A 21,286-nucleotide genomic window follows, 5' to 3' on the forward strand; every position below is an offset into this window, starting at 1 on the left:
GGGCCAGGTCATGGCTGGGAATGTGATGCATCCTGGTGAGGGCATCCACATCTCAGCATTTGTGGTCTCCAGAGATGCCCAGTTTGCTACTAGGACCTGTGATGGGCTGATTGACTCACAGGTGCTGGGGGCCAGACAGGGATCCTTAGGTGCATGTATTAGAAGCCAAGGGGACATTAAGAGATTATACCCAGCCAGGGGAATCCAGTCTTCTTGCCCTACCTTTTGGGTGCTCAAGCCCATGAGTACAGTAGGGGTTCATGTGTTGTGGACCTGGGAGATTAGAATAGCAGTTAAGATCATGGACCAAGGATGCACAGAGAGGAGGCTCCATACTCACCAGCCATGTGACTTCAGGCAGGTCACTAAATCTCTTTGAGTTTCTATTTCATCTTTAAAACTAGTTCAATTATAGTACTTTCTGTATGTGGCTATGAGGGTTATTGTAGGATTTGAGGATTTTTTGGGGGGATGGGGTTATTGTAATGATTTTAAAGCATTATCTATGCAAAGCAGTTAATATCTGGCATACTAACATTCAGTAAATGTTAGCTGCCACACTTACCATCATCAGGCCTGTCCAACTGCGGTTAGGACATGTGCACATTTTCAAGATGGAAAACTGGTCAGCAGGGGCAGCCAGGGTGGGGCTAGCCTTTCAGATCTTGGCCCCTTTCCTTCCCATCCAACCAGAGCTGAGCTTTCCCGGCTTCCAAACTTCTACAGTTGTTCTAGCCCAGAAAGGCACCCGGACAGACCCCTTCATGTGCATGCAACCTGTGCAGCCACACAGGGCTCCACTTAATTTAATGCTCTGCTGATGCCGTTTTGCAATTCTTAATAATTCTTTAATCAGGGGCCCCACGTTTTTATTTTGCACTGGGCCCCTGGAGTTAGGGAATTTTTTTCTATTCTCAGTCGCACCTATGATACCTTTCTTGCTGATTAAGTTCCTTGAATGGTTTTCTGTAGAGGTTTCTCCTCTTTACAATCATGTTGGGGATTTATGTTTAATTTTTTTTCTTTTTTGAGACAGAGTCTCGCTTTGTTGCCCGGACTGGAGTGCAGTGGTGCGACCTTGGCTCACTTCAACCTCTGCCTCCCGGGTTCAAGCAGTTCTCCTGCCTCAGCCTCCTCAGTAGCTGGGATTGCAGGCGCACACCACCATGCCCAGCTAATTTTTGTATTTTAGTAGAGACAAGGTTTCACCATGTTGGCCAGGCTGGTCTCAAACTCCTGACCTCAAGGGCCACCTCGGCCTCCCAAAGTGTTGGGATTACAGGCATGAGCCACTGTGCCCGGCCTATGTTTAATATTTTATCTTTAAAATACTTGAGTTTTTATATTAGTTTGGTAACTTTATCATTCAAATTGTTTGTCTTTAGGATTGTCCACTTTTATTTTCTGTCTTTTGAATATTTAACTCTTGGTTGTGCTAATTTATTTATTATGTTTCTTCTTTAACATTTTTGCCACTTAAAGAAAAACTCTGAGTTTAATGATCTTAGAGCTTTTACTTTACTCATTTTGCCCTGAGAGTCTTCTTAACCTTTAAATTTTCATTTCTCATTAAGTTTAATTGTATTACTTTTTAAAATCTTCCATCTGACAGTCATTGCCTTATAAGGGCAGTTTCTCAGTGTTTGTCTAATATTAATAATGTTAATAACACTACTACTAAGACACAAAATGCTGTTAACATTGTGGTGTGGATTCTTTCAGATTATGTATCTAGGTATTCATCTGTCCTGCTGGCCTATCTAAATATATATACATCATATACATATACATGTATATATACATATACATATACATATAATTTTCAATTTGTTCCTCTCAATATATTTTTGGTCATCTTTCTAAAACAATATACAAATTTTTTCTTTAAAAATTGTTGTAATAACTATGTTTCCACTTTATGTATGCATCATAGTTTATTTAATCAATCTACTCATGTTGGATTTTGAATTGTTAACAGTTCTCTATTATTAGAAATTATGTCATGGAGAATATCCTTGCGGATAAGCCTTAGCTCAGATTTATGATTTACTCCTAGGATAAATTGTAGAAGGATAAACTGCTGGATTGGGGGATATGAACTGTTTATAAATTTTTCATCAAGTGTTTTAACATGAAGTATGTTCTCATGGTATAAAATTCAAAAGGTACAAAAGGGTGCATAGTGAGATTTCTGTCCTTTCCCCCCACCTCCCCTCCCCATAAGTCCTCCAGCCATCCATTTCTCCTCCCCAAAGCTATCTCATATTACCAGGTATTAGGAACATCTTTAAGGTTATTGACATAAGCCATCTTATCAGATTGCACTCCAGAAAAGATGCAGTGTAGGAGAGTGCCTGTCTTGCAATGGCTTTGCTACAGTTTCATATTTTTAATTTGATTAATACTTTTACATTTAAATTTTGATAATATTTTGTTTTATTTTATTTTATTTTTTGTGAGATGGAGTCTCGCTCTGTCACCCAGGCTGGAGTGCAGTGGCTCGATCTTGGCTCACTGCAAGCTCTGCCTCCCGGATTCATGCCATTCTTTTGTCTCAGCCTCCCAAGTAGCTGGGACTACAGGCACCCGCCACCAAGTCCAGCTAATTTTTTTGTATTTTTAGTAGAGACGGGGTTTCACTGTGTTAGCCAGGATGGTCTCGATTTCCTGCCTCGGCCTCCCAAAGTGCTGGGATTACAGGTGTTAGCCACCGCGCCCGGCCGATAATATTTTAAATTTTAATTTTACGTTTTCTTTTTCCTCTTTTCTAGTTACAAAATGCGTGTTCATTGTAGTAAATTTAAACAATAAAAGAGAATATAGAATAAAAAGTAAAAGTCCTCCCCTCCCACTCTACCCAATCCTGCTGCCTTCCTCAAGGGCATCTCTAGTTAAGTTTGGAGTCTTTCCTTTCCTTCTTTCCAGACCATTTGTTTCCCTTGCAAACACACACACATCCCCTGAGCTTGCTCCTGATTCGTTCTATCATTCCCCTATTAATGTATATTTATAATTATCTTTCATTTCTCACTGTCAGAAACTTTGCTTTAGTGAACAAGCACGTATACTGAATCTCTTCTGTAGGGTTGGTTCCTAATATTGCTATCAGTAAACACACCCACTGCAGAATATGAAATTGGTTATTTCCCATATCTTGGCTCAAATTGGGTACCATCTATCTTTAAAGTTTGCCAATTTGATAAAAAATTATATCTTGTTTTGATTTAACTTATATCCCCTGATAATTACTGAGGTTGAATATATTTTCATTTAATTTTTGACCTTTCTTATTTATTTGTGACTGGCCTTTGTATACCCTTGGGCCAGTTTTCAATTGGGCTATCTTTTTCTTGTTAATTAGTATATCCTTATATGTTATAGGTAATTTTTTGCCTATCATATTTTCTCAGTCTGTGTTTTTTAGCTTTGTTTAGGAATTTTTTTTTTTTTTGGTATACAGAGACTTCTCATTTTACGTAGTAAAGTCTATCCATGTCTACATTTTCTTCTGATATTTTTAGAATTTTATTTCATATATTCAGACCCCTTCCTTCCTTCCTTCCTTCCTTCTTTTTTTCAGAGCCTCACTCTGTCACCCAGGCTGGAGTGCAGTGGCATGATCTCAGCTCACTGCAACCTCTGCCTCCCAGGTTCAAGTGATTCTTATGCCTCAACCTCCCGAGTAGCTGGGACTACAGGCGCACACCACCATGCCTGGCTAATTTTTGTATTTCTAGTAGAGACAGGGTTTCACTATGTTGGCCGGGCTGGTCTCAAAATCCTGACCTCAGGTGATCTGCCCACTTCAGCCTCCCAAAGTGCTGAGATTACAGGTGTGAGCCACCACACCTGGCCTATTTTGTATATGCAGATCTTTGATCGATCTAGAATTTATTTTGAAATATGTTGTGAGGTAGGTACCCAACTTTATTTTTTCTCTTTTTGTTTTAAAAATCTATTTCTAAATGAGTTGAAATCATTTTTGTATGATCTAGATGCAAATAGAAAGACAGAACTTCCCCAGGAGAGGATTGTTGACAGTTTCATAGAGCCATGGTAGGCTAATGGTGATTTCTCTTTGACAATGTTCCTCACCCAAATTATTTTGGCCATACCTTGGGGTGCTCATTTTTGTAGAGACCTTGTCTCTGCAAAAATTACAAAGATTAGCTTGGCATACACTCACCCTGTGGCTAGGCATTAGTCCTAGCTACTTGGGAGGCTGAGGCGAGACAATCGCTTGAGCCCAGCAGTTTGAGCCTTCAGTGAGCTATGATTGTGCCACTGCACTCCAGCCTGGGTGACAGCGCAAGACCCTATCTCTACCAAACAACCAACCAACAAACACCTTGTGATACCTGTGATTGTATTTTTTATTGATTGTGTTTTTGTATTTAATATTGAAATAGTAACATACTAGTTGGTTTTATTGTTGGTACATTGTAATACTTAGAGTAAGTGTGTGGAGTTTTGTTGCCCTGTGATTTAGTTTCAGGGAAACTGGAGGCCAAAGGAGAAGAAGTCAAAGCAAGGTAGTTAATGAGGTTGGGTGAGACCTGTGGGATGTGGTGTGAGGAGCATTGGATGGGAAAGAAAAGGCCCCCAGGATAAAATAAACATGGAAAGGATGAGGACACAGGGTTTGACTGTGTAATGGAAATGTTTTTTCTGTTTGAAACGAACAAACAAAATACTTCTATAATTTGTATTCTGAAAGGAGAATTTGTAGGTGGGAAGAGACCTCTAACTAAATTATGCAATTCTGCCTGCGTTCTGCCGCCCACAGACACAGGCATTGTGCTAAACAGGGCTGCTAAATAGGTATGGACGGTGGAGATTGGGACAGTTGATAAAATATTAATAGTAACATGTTAGTTGGCAAATGGTAAATACTAACTGCAATAAATAGCAAAGTTAATTATTTATAAATCTAAGATATAACATAAACTCATTAGGACACATTCATGAACATTGATAAATGGGCCTCCTAAAATAGAAACTTCTCAGAAGCATTAGCTGCACTATCTGCCACTTCGTCCACGTCACGGCAAACAGCACACGCTACATTGCTCATTTTTTATGGGGCACTCTGTGCTTTAGAGAAATAATGAGTTTATCTTTATCCTCAAATTGCTCACTTATTAGTGCTTCTAAATAACTTAGCCTTGACTTTGGTTTTATTGTTGGTGCATTATATTAAGTTGGTGCAAAACTAATAGCCATTATGTTTAATGGCAAAAACCGCATTACTTTTGCTCCAAATAATATTTATAGTAAGTGTGCGGGGTTTTGTTTCCTTAAAAGATCCAGAACTTACAGGAAAATTGTAAAAAGAACACCCAGGATGAAGAGACAACTGTGTTTAGGTAAGTGTTCCTTTTAAATATCATAAATAAAAATATTTTGGCTGGGCGTAGTAGTTCACCCCTGTCATCACAGCACTTCAGGAGGATCCCTTGAGGCCAGAATGTTCAAGACCAGCCTGGGCAACATAGGGAGACCCCCGTCTCTACAAAAAAAAATATATAGAAAAATTCTCTGGGCACGGTGGTGCACACCTGTGGTCATAGCTACTCAGAAGGCTGAGGCAGGAGGATTGCTTGAGTCCAGGAGGTCAAGGCTGCAGTGAGCTATGATTGCAGCACTGCACTCCAGCCTGGGTAACAGAATGAGACCCTATCTCTACCAAAAAAATAAAAATAAAAATAAATAAAAATCTGAATCTGGGGGACAAATTTTTAAGAATATATTAATAAGGAAAATCAATACTATGTAAAACTCACAACAGCCTGGAAATGACTTTGATGCTATAGATAATTCATTGAAAATAAACCAAATAACTTGTCTTTCTAGAAGGAAAACAGACTTAGTATTTCAACAAAAATTATGAGTAGATGATAAGTGCTAGTGAAGTAAATGTGGGATGAAAAGGTGCCCAAATGTGATTAAAAGTTGAAAGTTGCTCAACTTGTGTGGCACTTAAACCATTCAGAATGGCAATTACATTCTGTTAAAGCTCATGATTTGTATCAGTCAGGATTAAATCAGACAAGCAGAAACACGGAAAAGGGAATTTATTATAGAGATTAGTCCTTACACAGTTGTGGGGATTTGTTTAGGACATAGGTGGATTATCTTTGCTCCCCCATGCCCAGGGCCTCGGCTGGGAAAATTTGACAGCTGAGGGCTAAAATCATCTGGGGACATTGTCACACACATCATCAGGTGTTTGACACTGGCTGTTGATGTTGACACCGGTGCTGTTGAGGTATGGAATGTAACTGAGATCTGACCAATGGAATGTGAATGAAAGTGATGTGTGTCTCTTCCAGGCCTGGCCCATACAAACCTCTCATGCATCATGCTTTCTCCCCTCCATTTATCAGCTGAGTGAAGAGGACTTCAACAATAGATAGGAAGGCAAAATCCTAAGGTGGAAGAAGTCTGGGTCTCTGAATGACTGTGTAGACTAAAGCCCTCACCAACCTGCCTCAGGTTGTGACATGAATGAGAAACAACTTTCTATGAAGTTAAGCCATTTACCTTTTTGGAGTTGTTTGTTATAGCAGCTAATGCTGATTACCCTAATAACCATTTATCAAGGGAATCAACATTACCTGGTTATTTACTGAAGTTACACGTCACCAGAGATTTTCACCTGGTGTGTGATCTGGAGCTGCAAACATCCATGGTGATTCTCACCATGACAACTGTTACATAAGCCCTTTTTATGATCGCCATAGCAGGGGTTGGCCCTGTAACTCCTATTACCTAAAATGTGTGATACGGTTTGGCTGTGTCCCCACCCAAATCTTGTCTAGAACTGTAGTTCCCATAACTCCCATGTGCTGTGGGAGGGACTCAATGGGAGGTAATTGAATCATGGGGGCGGTTACCTCCAAGCTGTTCTTCTGACAGTGAGTGAGTCTCACCAGATCTGATAGTTTTATAAGGGGCTTTCCCCCCCACCCCGCTCTGCACTTCTCCTTGCTGCCTCCATGTGAAGAAGGACGTGTTTGCTTCCCCTTCCACCATGATTGTAAGTTTCCTGAGGCTTCCCCAGCCCTGTGGAACTGTGAGTCGATTAAACCTCCCAGCAGCTCCAGGACCACCACTGGCTCCCCACCCCACCTCACCTCTGGCCCCATTTCATCATCCTCGCCTCATCCTTCCCTCCCTTCTGCGACCCTGGCCTGTATTAGAGCACTCTTGAGAAAAAGAACCAATGGGATGCATTAGAGAGAGAGAGATTTATTTTATATTTATTTATTTATTTATTTGAGACGGAGTCTTGCTCTATAGCCCAGGCTGGAGTACAGTGGTGTGATCTTGGCTCACTGCAACCTCCGCCTCCTGGGTTCAAGCAATTCTCCTGCTTCAGCCTCCCGAGTAGCTGGGATTACAGGTGCGTGCCACCACGCCTGGCTAATTTTTGTATTTTTTAGTAGAGTCGGGGTTTCACCGTATTGGCCAGGCTGGTCCTGAACTCCTGACCTTGTGATCCACCTGCCTCAGCCTCCCAAAGTGCTGGGATTACAGGTGTGAGCCAGTGCACCCAGCTGAGAGATTTATTTTAAGGAATTGGCTTGTGTGATATGGGGACAGGCAAGTCTGAAATCCATAGGGCAGGTTGGCAGCCTGGAAATTCAGGAAGAGTTGATGCTGCATTCTCAAGTGAGAAGGCTGGAAACTCGAACAGAATTTTGATGTTGCAGTCTGGAGACAGAAATCCTTCTTCCTTGGCATACCTCAGTCTTTATTTATTTATTTTGGAGACAGGGTCTCACTCTGCCGCCCAGGCTGGAGTGCAGTAGCGTCATCACAGCTCACTGCAGCCTCAACCTCCTGTATTCAAGCAATCCTCTCATCTCAGCCTCTCCAGTAGCTGGGACTATAGGCACGAGCCACCACGCCTGGCTAATTTTTGTATTTTTAGTAGAGACAGGGTTTCCTCACATAGCCCAGGATGGTCTTGAAGTTCTGAGCTCAAGCGATCCACCTGCCTCAGCCTCCCAAAGTGCTGGGATTACAGGCGTGAGCCACTGCTCCCAGCCCCTCAGTATTTATTTTTAATTGGCTAGTTCAAATAATTTAAACAGGCTCCAAAGCTGTCCTTAGGTGTCTGGTACCCTGGGGTGATTAGGGCAGGCGGATAGTGACCTGACCTCAGCTTGGGAGAGACCAGTTGAGTAGATGGTTGTGTTTATGGGCTTTGAATGGGTTACTTCGCATAAGAAAAGCGTGCTCTAGGATGTTGTTTGCAATCTCTAGGAATTAGCTAGCAAGGGAGAGACAGTCCATGCACGGTAAGGCCCCAAGTTCAACTGATGGGCCCAACCACTTTATAGAGGGGAGTCTGCTTTACTAAAAGTTTATGAGTTTCAATGCTGATCACAGGCCAGACACAGCAGCTCATACCTGTAATCCCAGCTCAAGATGGGAGGATCACTTGAGCCCGAGACTTTGAGGTTACAGTGAGCCATGATTGTGCCACTGCACTCCAGCCTGGGCAACAGATCAAGACCTTCTCTTAAAAAAAAATGTGGATCACATGCAAAAAATTACCTTCATAGCAACAGCTAGACTGCTATACTGTTGTTTGTCCAAACAACTGGGCACCACAGCCTGGCCAAATTAACACAAAATTAACATCACATGGCCCCTTTGCCATTCCTTGAAGGCAGGCGTTGTCCTGTCTCAGAGAGTGATTCCCAAATATCTGCGGAGCTGGCTCCCTCTCCTCCTTTGGAATTTGCTGGATATTGCCTTAGTGCAGTCGCTTCTGATAGGCCCCTTTTGCATGGCAAGCCCTCCTCCAGCCCCAGCACTCCCAGTCCCCCTCCGCTGGGCTTCTTTGTGTGTTGTCTCAGCTGAGTCATGCCTCAAAGGTGCAGTTTTCTACTCTGGTATGTTCTAGTCATGAACGCCTGGACTATAACCCATTTAACAGTCAGGACGTTATCTAACTTGCACACTGTGCTGGCGATTAAGCTGTCATCTCTCTGCTCCAAACCCTCCTTTCTATGACCTGCTTTGTGAAGCTGGGCTGGGACTCTGAAAACCACATTTCTGCTTTGCTGGCTGTTAGGCTTTGTCAATAGGGGACGCTCCAGGGTGTTTTAATGGAACCCGGATTTGCATTTGTTTTAATCAGGTATTGTAAGACAAGCAGACTTGGAAGGGAATGTCATGAAGGAAGAGGTTTACTCACAGTTCCCTAGAAATGGGAGACATGAGATACCATGGATGTGGGGGTAGGGGCACAGAGAAGCCCCGGGGTCGGTCAGGAGGCAGAAGGAACAAGGGGAAAATGTAGGCAAGAGTTTTTATTGTGATTTTCATTGGAAAGAACAGCCAAGGTAGGGTAAGTAGGCCTAGAACTGGCTTGTTCGAATAACTTCAACAGGCTCCTAAGAAGCTGTCCTTAGGTGTCTGGTACCGGGGCCTGGGGTCATTAGGGCAGGCGGATAGTGACCTCAGCTTAGGAGAGGCTTGGTTAGCATAGATAGTTGTGGTTATGGGCTCTGGATGGGTTACTTTGCATAAGAAAGGCGTGCTCTAGGTTAAGTTGTTTACTATCTTTAGGAATTAGCTAGCGAGGGAGAGACAGTCCCTGCAGGATCAGTAAGGCCCCAAGTTGTCAAAACATCGAATAAAAGAAAATAAAAAGACATGATTAATACACAGGGAGAGAGGGCATGCAATGATGGGGATGGAAGAAGAAACTTACTTCTTCTGTTGGTTCCCTGTGAATTTCCTGTGGCTGTCTGATGGCCTGTATTTTCAGCGAGCATCACTCCAGCAAAGCTTCTATTCTACTCCCTGGCAGCAGCAGCACCTTCCTGGAGCAGCAGCTGAGACCAGTTGCTCTGCAATTCTCTCCAGAACTGACTCTGCAATTTCCCACCACTTGCAGAGTCAGCCCCAATATGGTCTTCTCAGAGACACCAGCACCAGCCAGACAGTGCCCTGTCCCCAAGAGGCCTGGGTCTCAGCCCCATGGAACCCTCTTCCAGGTTCAAAGGCACCAGCATCATCCAAGCAGCAGCCACCCATCCTCAGAGATGAGTTTCAGCTCTGGAGTCCCCTTCTTCTAAACTTACAAATTTTAATAATTCAAACCTCTTCTCCCAGTTCCCTCAGTCTTAGGAGTGGTAGCTACTCATCCATAATATGTTGGTGTGTTGTTATTTGAGAGACAGGGCCTTGCTTTGTTGACAAGGCTGGAGTGCAGTGGCATGAAGACAGCTCAATGCAGCCTCAATATCCTGGGTCAAGCAATCCTCATGCCACAGCACCCTGAGTAGCTGGGACTACAGGCATGCGCCACCACGCCCAGCATTTTTTTTTTTTTTTTTTTTTTTAGAGAGAGGGTCTCACTATGTCGTGCAGGCTGGTCTCAAATTCGGTGGTTTTCCTTTTTCTTTTTTCTTTTTTTTTCTCTTTTAGTGACTTCATTCACAACTTTATATCTAGTTAGCAATTATTTATATTCAATTCTCTTTGTTCACATGGTGGTATTCTGTCTCATTGGACCATAGCTGCTTGAGAAATTGGTCTCAGGAGTGGTCCCAAGAAATAACTCCTCAAAAATGTGTTTTTGTGTGTGTGGTTTTTTTTGTTATTGTTTTTGTTTGTTTGTTTGTTTGAGATGGAGTCTCGCTCTCTCGCCCAGGCTGGAGTACAATGGTGTGATCTCAGCTCACTGCAACCTCCACCTCTCGGGTTCAAGCGATTCTCCTGCCTCAGCCTCCTGAGTAGCTGGGATTACAGGCATGCGCCACCATGCCTGGCTAATTTTGTATTTTTAGTAGAGACGGGGTTTCTCCATGTTGGCCAGGCTGGTCTCAAACTCCCGACCTCAGGCGATCCTCCCACCTCGGCCTCCCAAAGTGCTGGGATTACAGGCGTGAGCCACGGCACCCTGCCATTGTGAGCCACGGCACCCTGCCGTGATATTACTTTAATGTGTTCTTGGGCTTGAACTCAGTGCCGAGCTCCACTGGCAATGGAAAATGGCATGCTAGCAATCCATGGCATACAGTGACATTATGATTAATCACATAATTGCCTGTGGTTGATTGTGATGAAGTGCCTATTACAAGTGCCTTGGGGGACAAGGTGGCTGTTTCACTTGGTCATTATGGCAGTGATGATGACTGCAAGAACTATTTGGGATGTGGGATGGATTCTTTTGAATGCACTAGAGTGCTTATAGAAAGAAATGACAAGCTCAACTGAATATTCACTTGGGACTATGACTAAATTTGAGAAGTAATTAACATGTCTTAGAAGTGGATGATATGAATGTCTCCCAAAAATGGATACAGTAATTATTGCAACTTTGCATCTCTTCGTTTTTGGGGAGAGGATTTGTTTATATGAAAGGTAGTTGTATCTTGTTAGACAGAAAGGCGGTTGTTTTTATTGTCTTGAAAAGTTGACATATATGGAGAAAGATGTAAAAATATGTGCACATGGATCTTGAATAGCTGAACCAATGGACTGTGCTGGTTCTTAAGCTCTTGTCTATTGCTTCAACTCATCCTTCTATACTCTGCACCATGATGCTGGGACAGGGACTCTGCAAACTGTATTTCTGCATTGCCAAAAGCAGGCTTTCTGTTAGGCTGTGTTGATGGGTAGTACAAGAGGGAGACTGCAAGGCTGAAGGAGGAAGGAATTGGTTTCTTTCCTTGGTCTTCCTGAACTTGTGAGCATCACCTAGCAACACTTCCTCGCCTGGGCCACAATGAGGTAGGAGGCAGGACTCAACTCCAGAAATGGGGCTCAGACACTGCACCAGATTGAGGACTAGCTAAAACAGGGTAGGGGTGGAAGCCGCTTTCCAATCAAACACGCCCACCATGTACCATGTCAATTTATCATTGTCATGGCAACACCAGGGAGTTACCGCCTCTTTCCATGGCAATGACCCAATGACCCAAAATTACTATGCCTTCCCTAGAAATTTCTGCACAAACTGCCCCTTGATCTCCATCCAGTTAAAAGTGGGTATAAATATGACTGCAAAACTGCCCTGAGCTGCTGCTCTCCGCCTCCAGTGTAGCCTTGCTCAGAAGGAGCAGTCACAGAGTTGCAACACTGTAACACCACTAGAGCTATAACACTGCTTCTTCAGTAAAGCTGTTTTCTTCTATCTCTGGCTTACCCTTGAATTCTTTCCTGGGCAAAGCCAAGAACCCTCATGGGCTAAGCTCCACTTCGGGGCTTGCTTGCCTTGCATCAGCTGCAGTTCCTTCCTGTGGAGGTTGCTGAATCCAGTTTGCAAATTTCCCAACATTTGCAGAGCAGCCTTATTGTGCTTCATTCAGAAACTCCAACAGCTGAGTGGCACCTCTTCCTCAGAGATCTGAGGTGCAGCTCTGCAGGGCCCCTCGGCTAAGCTTTTTTTTTGTTTGTTTGTTTGTTTGTTTGTTTTTGAGATGGAGTCTCGCTCTGTAGCCCAGGCTGGAGTACAGTGGTGTGATCTTGGCTCACTGCAACCTCCACCTCCTGGGTTCAAGCAATTCTCCTGCCTCAGCCTCCCGAGTAGCTGGGTTTACAGGTGCGCGCCACCACGCCTAGCTAATTTTTGTATTTTTTAGTAGAGACGGGGATTCACCATATTGGCCAGGCTGGTCCTGAACTCCTGACCTTGTGATCCATCTGCCTCAGCCTCCCAAAGTGCTGGAATTACAGGCGTGAGCCACTGCACCGGGCCGACAAGATTCTTTATATTAAATTTTCTCTGCTCATATTAAATTTTCTCTGCTCAAATAACTGCTGTGGTTTCTGTCTTCTGATTAGACCCTTCTTGATACAAACACCTTAGCATCCTTTGGATGGAGAATTGTGTCTGATATAATAGATGCTATAAATGATGTTTGTTGAATTAATGACAGTGACATTTAGTAAGTTCTTGCCACCTCAGGCTTTGTTCTACATGTGTCATCTCATTTCATCATTAAAGTAATCTTATGAGATAGGAACTATTTTCCCTAATAAAAGACAAAATAAATACTGATATGTAGTGAGTATTAAACTGAGTGTACTGCTAGGTAAGGCAGAGGAAGCCTGATCCAATACAAAGTTCGGCCATGCACGATTGGGTCTTCAGATTAAATGTTAAAGAATAACTCAGGACAATTACCTAAGCATTGAGAGTTTCCTTTTTTTTTTTTTAAACAGTATTTTATTTTATTTTGTATTTTTGTGGGTACATAATAGGTGTATATATTTATGGGGTACATGAGATATTTTGATACAGGCATGCAATGTGTAATAATTACATCAGGGTAAATGGGGTATTCATCACCTCAAGCATTTATCATTTGTGTTACAAACAATCCAATTATACTTTTTTTTGTTTGTTTGAGATGGAGTTTCACTCTTGTCGCCCAGGCTGGAGTGCAATGGCGTGTTCTAGGCTCACTGCAACCTCTGCCTCCCGGGTTCAAGCTATTCTCCTACCTCAGCCTCCTGAGTAGCTGGGACTACAGGCGCGTGCCACCACACCTGGCTAATTTTTTTTGTATTTTTAGTAGAGATGGGGGTTTCACCACGTTGGCCAGGCTGGTCTCAAACTCCTGACCTCAGGTGGTCCACCCGCCTCGGCCTCCCAAAGTGCTGGGATTACAGGCGTGAGCCACTGCACCCAGCCTAATTATACTCTTTTAGTTATTTTTAAATGTACAATTAAATTATTATTGACTATAGTCCCTCTGTTGTGCTATCAAATACTAGATCTTATTCATTATTTCTAACTATTTTTGTACCCATGAAGCTTCCCCATTTCCTCCCCCCACACTCCCTATTACCTTTTGCAGCCTCTGCTAATCATCCTTCTACTCTCTATCACCATGAGTTCAATTGTTTTAATTTTTAGCTCCTACAAATGAGTGAAAGTGAGAACATGTGAAGTTTGTCTTTCTGTGCCTGGCTCATGTCGCTTAACATAATAACCTCCAGTTCCATCCATGTTGTTGTAAATGACAGAATCTCATTCTTTTTTTACGGCTAAATAGTACTCAACTGTATATGTACCACATTTTTAAAAATCCATTTGTTTGTTGATGGACACAGAAGTTGTTTCCAAATCTTGGCTATTATGAATAGTGCTACAATAAACATGAGAGTGCAGATACCTCTTCGAAATACTGATTTCCTTTCTTTTGGGTATATTCCCATCAGTGGGATTGCTGGGTCATGTGGTAGCTCTATTTAGAGTTTTGAGGAAACTCCAAACTGTTCTCCATAGTGGTTGTACTAATTTACATTCCCACCAACAGTGTATGAGGGTTTCCCATTTCTCCACATCCTCACCAGCATTTGTTATTGCCTGACTTTTGGATAAAAGCCATTTTAATTAACTGGAGAGAGATGATATCTCATTGTAGTTTTGATTTGCATTTCTATGATGATCAGTGATGTTGACTACTCTTTCATATAAGCATTAAGGGTTTACTTTTAGGTGAGTAGTATACAAGGAAGAGCATGCCTCGTGAAGACTGACACCCAGTCCAAAGGCAAGGGTAGGCTTATAAGGGCAAAAGCCACACAGTTTCATAAGGAGAGGTGATTGGTTTAAATAAGTCTTTAGCTTGTCCTCTCAGGATTATTTGGCTGTAATGGAACTGAGCCCCAATTCCATCTGTGCTTTTTTGAATCTTTATTGACCCAGTAAGTCCACGAAGTTGAATCCAAATAAACACTTGAGGCACAAATCGCAAACACAAGAAGTTCCTCATCAGGTTAGGGTTTTTGTTTGTTTGTTTGTTATGGGTTTTTTTCTGATTCTGATCAATTTTCCCAGAAGCAGTTGCTTTGGTTCCTTCTTCTGGGACCCTAACTGATTGATTTTTGCATTTTATTACTCATCCAGGCTCAAAGTCAAGCAGGGTGTAAGTCCATCTACACATGCTCAAGGCTTAGCAAAAATTTCCTTTATCATCTCACTTTTACAGGTGGACCTGTGCCACAGAGGAATTAAGTAACCTTCCCATGGTCACATAGCTGGTAAGTCATAGAGCCAGACTTTGGTAGGTGTGGTAGGTAATTTATTTTTCATGTGAATCAATTTCCCGCTGCCATTCTAACCTTTACGTACCCCTATGGGCCAATCCTTCCTAGTCAAGCAGGTTGACTTCAGAATTAGTGCATTTAACCACTTTGCTGGACTGCTTCGAGGAGAAAAAGAGACAGAGAGGGGAAAGGAGGGAAGAAGAGAGAAGGAGGGCGTTCCTCTGTGTGTATTAAGAGCATGTACTTTAGTGGCAAATAGATGTAGGTTAAAATCCCAGATATGGGTGAATTGAGCGCTGCTGGTGGGCAGTAGAGTCACTGCACCACCGCCGGGACCATGGTGTTCTACTTCACCAGCAGCAGCATTAATTCATCCCAGTACACTATTTACATGGGAAAGGATAAATATGAAAATGAAGATCTGATCAAGCACGGCTGGCCTGAAAATATCTGGGAGAGAACATAGAAGACATTCCAAAGGAAGTGCTGATGGACTGTGCCCACCTTGTGAAAGCCAGTAGCATTCAAGGCTGCAAGATGAACGTTAATGTGGTATATACGCCGCAGTCTAACCTGAAGAAAACAGCTGACATGGATGTGGGGCACATAGGTTTTCACAGGCAGAAGGATGTAAAAATTGTGACATGGGAGAAAAAAGTAAATGAGATCCTGAACTGATTAGAAAAGACCAAAGTGGAGTGGTTCCCAGACCTAGCAGCAGAGAAAGAATGCAGAGATCGTGAAGAGAGGAATGAGAAAACAGCCCAAATTCAGGAAATGAAAAGGAGAGAAAAAGAAGAAATGAAGAAGAGGGAAATGGATGAACTTAGGAGCTATTTACCACTAATGAAAGTTGAAAATATGTCTTCAAATCAGGATGGCAATGATTCAACTGAATCCATGTAAAAGGAGAAAAGGACCTTTGAAAGATGTGAATGTAGAGACAATTGCAGACCTTTTGGTTTCATCTGTATTCTGAAGTATAAAATACAACCAAAATTCTACCTTCATCCTACCCAGAAATTATTGATTTTGGAGTTTTAAAAAAATTGTACCTTTTTTGTTGACAGAAAAGGATCAGATATGTATAAAATAGTTGAACTTGACAGCATATAACTTAAAGCAAAAATGTTTTTGCCAGAACATGTCTTGGTACTTTGTGAAAGCTGGCTGCCCTTGTTCTTGAGATTGACTTTAAAATGAACCACTCTGAAAAGTACTTCTGTTGCTGTGATCTATCCCTGAAAACAGATGTCTTGAAACACTTTTCATATTCTTAAAATAATCTTCACTTCTGTTAAGAAGAACATGTTGGTGGGTAATTATGCGAATGTTTCCCTGTCCCTGATTTCCAGATTAGAAAAAAGGGCATATGGGTTTTGAAAAAGAGATTTTCAGAAGATTGTCAGCTTCAGTATTCACGTTCCATCGTGTCATCTGGGTCTGTTAGTGTAGTGACCCACAGCACAGTCTGTCCCAGCTTTTACGTCCTTGCTTCTTCTGAGCAGGGCCTCCTCCATCTTAGTATCATCATATTTAAAGAAATTGATGGTGTTCATCAAGGTGGGGCCTGTGGCAGTTGTTGCCTGAGCACCAAGTAACCCAAGCCACCTATGCAACAACTTCTGGGCTCTGGAGTAATTTCTCAGCATTGAGGGTAAAATAGGAAGGAATGCTCTGTTGATCATTTGGCAGATGTAGGTTACCTGATTTGTGCCTTGGGATGCAGCATGAAGCAGAAGTCCATATTGCAATTATGATTTTAGAAGGAAATAAGCGTTTCACTAGCCAGCCAAGTAATTATATTCTTTACCTTGAAATCATATTTGAGTTGTGGCCCCAGAGTTCAATTTCTCATTGTAGATTCAGTAACTTACTATATAACATTACTTCTCACTTGAACCACTCACTATCTGTTGTGATTCTGAGCAGAAGATGTCTTTTGATTGCAGTATGTAAGGGAACCCCTGTAGAAGGAGACAAAACAAGAAGAAAGAGAACAAAGCCTGCAGGACCAGAGGCATACAGGTGGACATTTTACTCACACCCACAGCAGCAAGAATGACCTCCTGCAGCAGATATTCCACCTGTAATAGCGCTTTGGAATTCTGGGCAAAACCAAAAGGCTAGTGTTTCCAAATATTCCATGTTGGTGTATGGGGTTGAACTGGAAAATTCCCTGAGGCATGATTCATTGGCCAAATTTTGATAGGGTATAGAAGATGACTTTAGAGATGAGTGGTTTTGTGTACGTGTCTAATGATATTCAGCTTGACGTTCTGCAATTTTAAAAGTTATAATAAAGTATAATTTTTTATCTGAAAAAAAATCCCAGATCTGCTTTTTGCTATTTACAAGTTATGTGAACTAAGAAAATTATTTAGATTTTCTAAGGCTCAGTCTCTTCATCTGTAAAAATGAGAAAAAAAAAAAAAGTACATAACCTAAAAGGGCAGTTTATTCTAGATGGTTTTTTAAAACAGCATACCAATTTATGATCCATGACTGCCCCCTAGAGGTAAAATTAAAATACTGCTCCATAATTGTGCTAAATATAATCCCGGAAAGAAGGTACAGACTACAGCTGTGATTATAGGTTCAAGTTGACAGCAAGACTCATGAGACAGAAATAAATTGTAACCTAGAATACAAGGCAGAAGATATGGCAGATGCTACATCTTTATCTCACCAGGTGGCCCAGCAGCTACCGAAGTACACATGTCCTGTTGTCATTCATCCACAGGGCAATTACAGCTGCCACGGGCTAGCCAAGGTGTGCAGCGATCACTTTGACTCATAGAACCTAAAGCCTTAGTCAGGCGCAGTGGCTCATACCTGTAATCCCAGCACTTTGGGAGGCTGAGGCAGGAGGATCTCTTGGGCCTAGTCTGAGACCAGCCTGGGTCTCAGGCAAGGCCCTGTCTCTTTAAATAAATAAATAAATAAATAAATAAATAAATAAGTAAGTAAGTAAATAACCTGAAACCTCTATTTCTCACCAATATTTCCTGCCATTCCCAGTTGCATACGCTCATGACCTGTATGCTCACTGACAATGCCTCCAGACCCATGCGCAGTTCCACACAATTGTGTAGTCAGCATACACAACATCCCCTGTTTATGTTAACTCTGCAGTTTCCAAGGAAACAGTATTGTGGAAGACCAAGGTCAGTGTCAGGCAGGCTTGCATCAGCCCCAGCCTGATATTAATTTTCCCTTTACTCACAGAAGCATAATTTAACATTAAGAAATGTTTCCCTGTGATTTGCCAATTAAGTGATAAAGGAGAAAAATCATACAATCCTCTCAAAAATGCAAAAAACATCATTCAACAAAACTAAATGTGGATTCATAATTTTTAAAAAACCCTTAACAAATTAGGAATAGAAGGGAACTTTTTCAACCTGTTAAAGGGTATCTACCCCAAACATAAACTTTATGCTTGAAAGTTTGGAAGCATTTCCATTAAGTCAGGAACAAGATTGCTATCAGCACTATTATTCACCATTATACTGGAGCTCCTAGCCAATGTAATAAGAGAAATAAACAAGAAGTGTTAACATAGAAAAACAGAACACTATCCATATTTGCAGGTGATATTACAGTCAATGAGAAAATCCAAGAGAATATAGAGAAAAACTATTTAAACCAATAAGAGTATTAGGCATAAAATATACCATTCCCAGGGTTGATAACAACTCTAAGGCATCTAGGACTATATCTCATAAAGGATATACTAGACCTTCATAGAGGACAATACAAAATGTTTTTAAATATATAAAAAGAATATGAATAAAATAATAAATGGAGAGATATTGATGGGAATACTTACTATTATAAAGGTATCACTTCTCTCCCAAAATAAACCTACAAATTAAATTCATTCCAATACAAACTCAGCAGGATTTTTTGTTGTAACTGGATTAACAGGTCCTAAAGTTCATATGAAAGAGTAAATGTCCATGAACATGCAAGATACTTCTGAAAAAAAGAATAAAATACCAGATATAACAAATGAATGTTAAACTACAGAAATTAAATAGAGTACAGTCAATTCAGACCAACCTAAAGGGGTAGAGAGCCCAGATACAGTCCAAACACATTGGTCTTTTAATCACCTACAAAGCCTCACATGATCTGACCTCATCTCTCCAGCCACTTGCCTCAGCTCACTCCACTTCAGCCACACTGGCCTTGCTATTCCTTGAACTTGCCAGGCCAGGCCAGTGTGGGCTCTTGACACTGACTTTTCCCTCTGTCTGGAATACTGTTTATACAGATAATTCCCTTACCTACTTCTGGTCTGCATTCCCATATAACCTTCTCAATGAGACCCACCCTGACTTCTCCATTTAGAATCATCACTCATGTCCCTAACTCAGATCCTTCTTGCCCTTCTCTACTTTTTCTCCACCCCTCACAGAACTTATCACCTTCTAACACTCCAAATAATTTACTTATTGTGCTCATTGTTTTTAAAAATCCATCTGCCCCTGCTAGAATGTAAGCCCCACAAGGGTATAGATCTCTGTTTTGTTAGATCTCAAGTACTTTAACAGTTCCTGGCATATAGTAGGCACTCAATAAATACCAGTGGAATAAATCAATGGAACAAGGGCATTTCCAGTAGTAATAAATGCTATAAAGCAAATAACACAGGGGCATGTGACAGAATAACTGGGGCAGGCTTCTATAAATTGATTAATCAGGGAAGAACTCTCTGACTGAGTGACTTGTAGTGGTAGGCTGGCAAATATTTAGCAACTGACTCCAAAACAAAAGCCCTGATTTATAGCTTTTGCCTATTTCCATGGTGTAAATATTCCCACCATGGCCAATTCGAAGTTACTGGCATAACATAACTGAATAGGGAGTTGGAAAGAGATGCACACACCTGGCTCTCACAAGCCAATGCAAGCCAGCTCCAACACACCACTGCACTTGTATGGAATGGGAGAGCTCCATACAGGATTCTTGAGTGAATCACTAGAATGTAAACTCGATGAGAATGGGATTTCCTGTGTCCTCAGCACCTAGAATATTTCCTGGTGTATTACATTTGCTTAGTAAATACTTCTTGAATGACTGAATGACTGAATACATACATAAGTGTAGGAATTTCTTCATTCACTTTTACCCAAGTGAGTACCTAGCTTATTTGCCACCTGGAATGGATAATTTTTTTACTGTCCCTCTTTTTCATATGACAAAATCATTTTCAGTAAAATCATGAAATAAAATGAATAATAATAAGAATAGGCTGGGCATGGTGGCTCACACCTATAATCCCAGCACTTTTGGAGGCCGAGGCGGGTGGATCACCTGAGGTCAGGGGTTCAAGACCAGCCTGGCCAACATGGTGAAACCCCGTCTCTACTAAAAATACAAAAATTAGCTGGGGGTGGTGGCGGGCGCCTGTAATCCCAGCTACTCAGTAGGCTGAGGCAGGAGAATCACTTGAACCTGGGAGGCGGAGGTTGCAGTGAGCCGAGATCGTGCCATTGCACTCCAACCTGGGCGACAAGAGTGAAACCGTGTCTCAAAAAAATAATAATAATAGTAATAATAAGTCCCAGAAATTAAAAAGCAGATAGTAAGAACTTTTGTCTATATAAATAAATAAATGCCAATATAAATGAATATTACAATACAAAAAGGAAAAGAGTAATTAATGAATAATTTTAATTACCTTAATGTGTTTTTTGAAAAAAGGAAAAAACCTACTTATTTTGTTCTGTAATGGTAATTAATATTACAATTATGATTTTTGAGCCTTAACTTCTGCAAATTTGTCAATGACTGTGTCTAAATTTATCTTTTTTGCAGCCTTATGTTCAATAGACAGTACAGACAGATTTTTCTTTTTCTTTTTGTGGGGGATTTTCTAGTAAAAAATGGAAAACCTGCTAGACAAATTCTTAAAAAGCTATAACACAGATAAATTTTTCTATCTTCACTCAGAGTTGATTGAAAAACCCATTTTATTAATTTCAAATTTAAAAAGGTTGTTTCACATGAAGCAACATACATACAAATACTTAGGAAAAGTCTTAAACATAGGAAAATTTGTCAAAGACTCGTAAAAACCCCATCTCACAAATTCCAGAGATTAAAATTCTGTCCATGTATTTATTCATTGGAACTTATTCAAGTAACTTTCAAATGTCTCCTCAGTTAAAAAAATTCCATTAAAATATATTTACCAGAAAATTTATCAAGTATTTATGTCATATTTGGTTCAAATAAAAGGGTTTCACTTCTC

At 41.3% G+C, this 21,286-nt stretch overlaps 2 pseudogenes, besides 2 other annotated features; one reads left to right on the forward strand and one right to left on the reverse strand.

Annotated features, from left to right (window-relative positions):
* Window positions 7,836–8,593: an enhancer, noted in NCBI's record as "OCT4-NANOG hESC enhancer chr1:40176174-40176931 (GRCh37/hg19 assembly coordinates)". NCBI's record gives its function as "activates a minimal SCP1, AML or CMV promoter by ChIP-STARR-seq in naive and primed H9 embryonic stem cells {active_cell/tissue: H9 hESC(naive and primed)}" and the evidence as "EXISTENCE:reporter gene assay evidence [ECO:0000049][PMID:30033119]".
* Window positions 9,213–9,908: an enhancer, noted in NCBI's record as "OCT4-NANOG hESC enhancer chr1:40177551-40178246 (GRCh37/hg19 assembly coordinates)". NCBI's record gives its function as "activates a minimal SCP1, AML or CMV promoter by ChIP-STARR-seq in naive H9 embryonic stem cells {active_cell/tissue: H9 hESC(naive)}" and the evidence as "EXISTENCE:reporter gene assay evidence [ECO:0000049][PMID:30033119]".
* On the forward strand, window positions 15,309–16,127 carry CCDC25P1 (CCDC25 pseudogene 1; annotated as a pseudogene).
* RNU7-121P (RNA, U7 small nuclear 121 pseudogene) lies at window positions 20,900–20,961 on the reverse strand (annotated as a pseudogene).

Source organism: Homo sapiens, chromosome 1 (assembly GCF_000001405.40).
Source record: "Homo sapiens chromosome 1, GRCh38.p14 Primary Assembly".
Classification (NCBI taxonomy): Eukaryota; Metazoa; Chordata; class Mammalia; order Primates; family Hominidae; genus Homo; species Homo sapiens.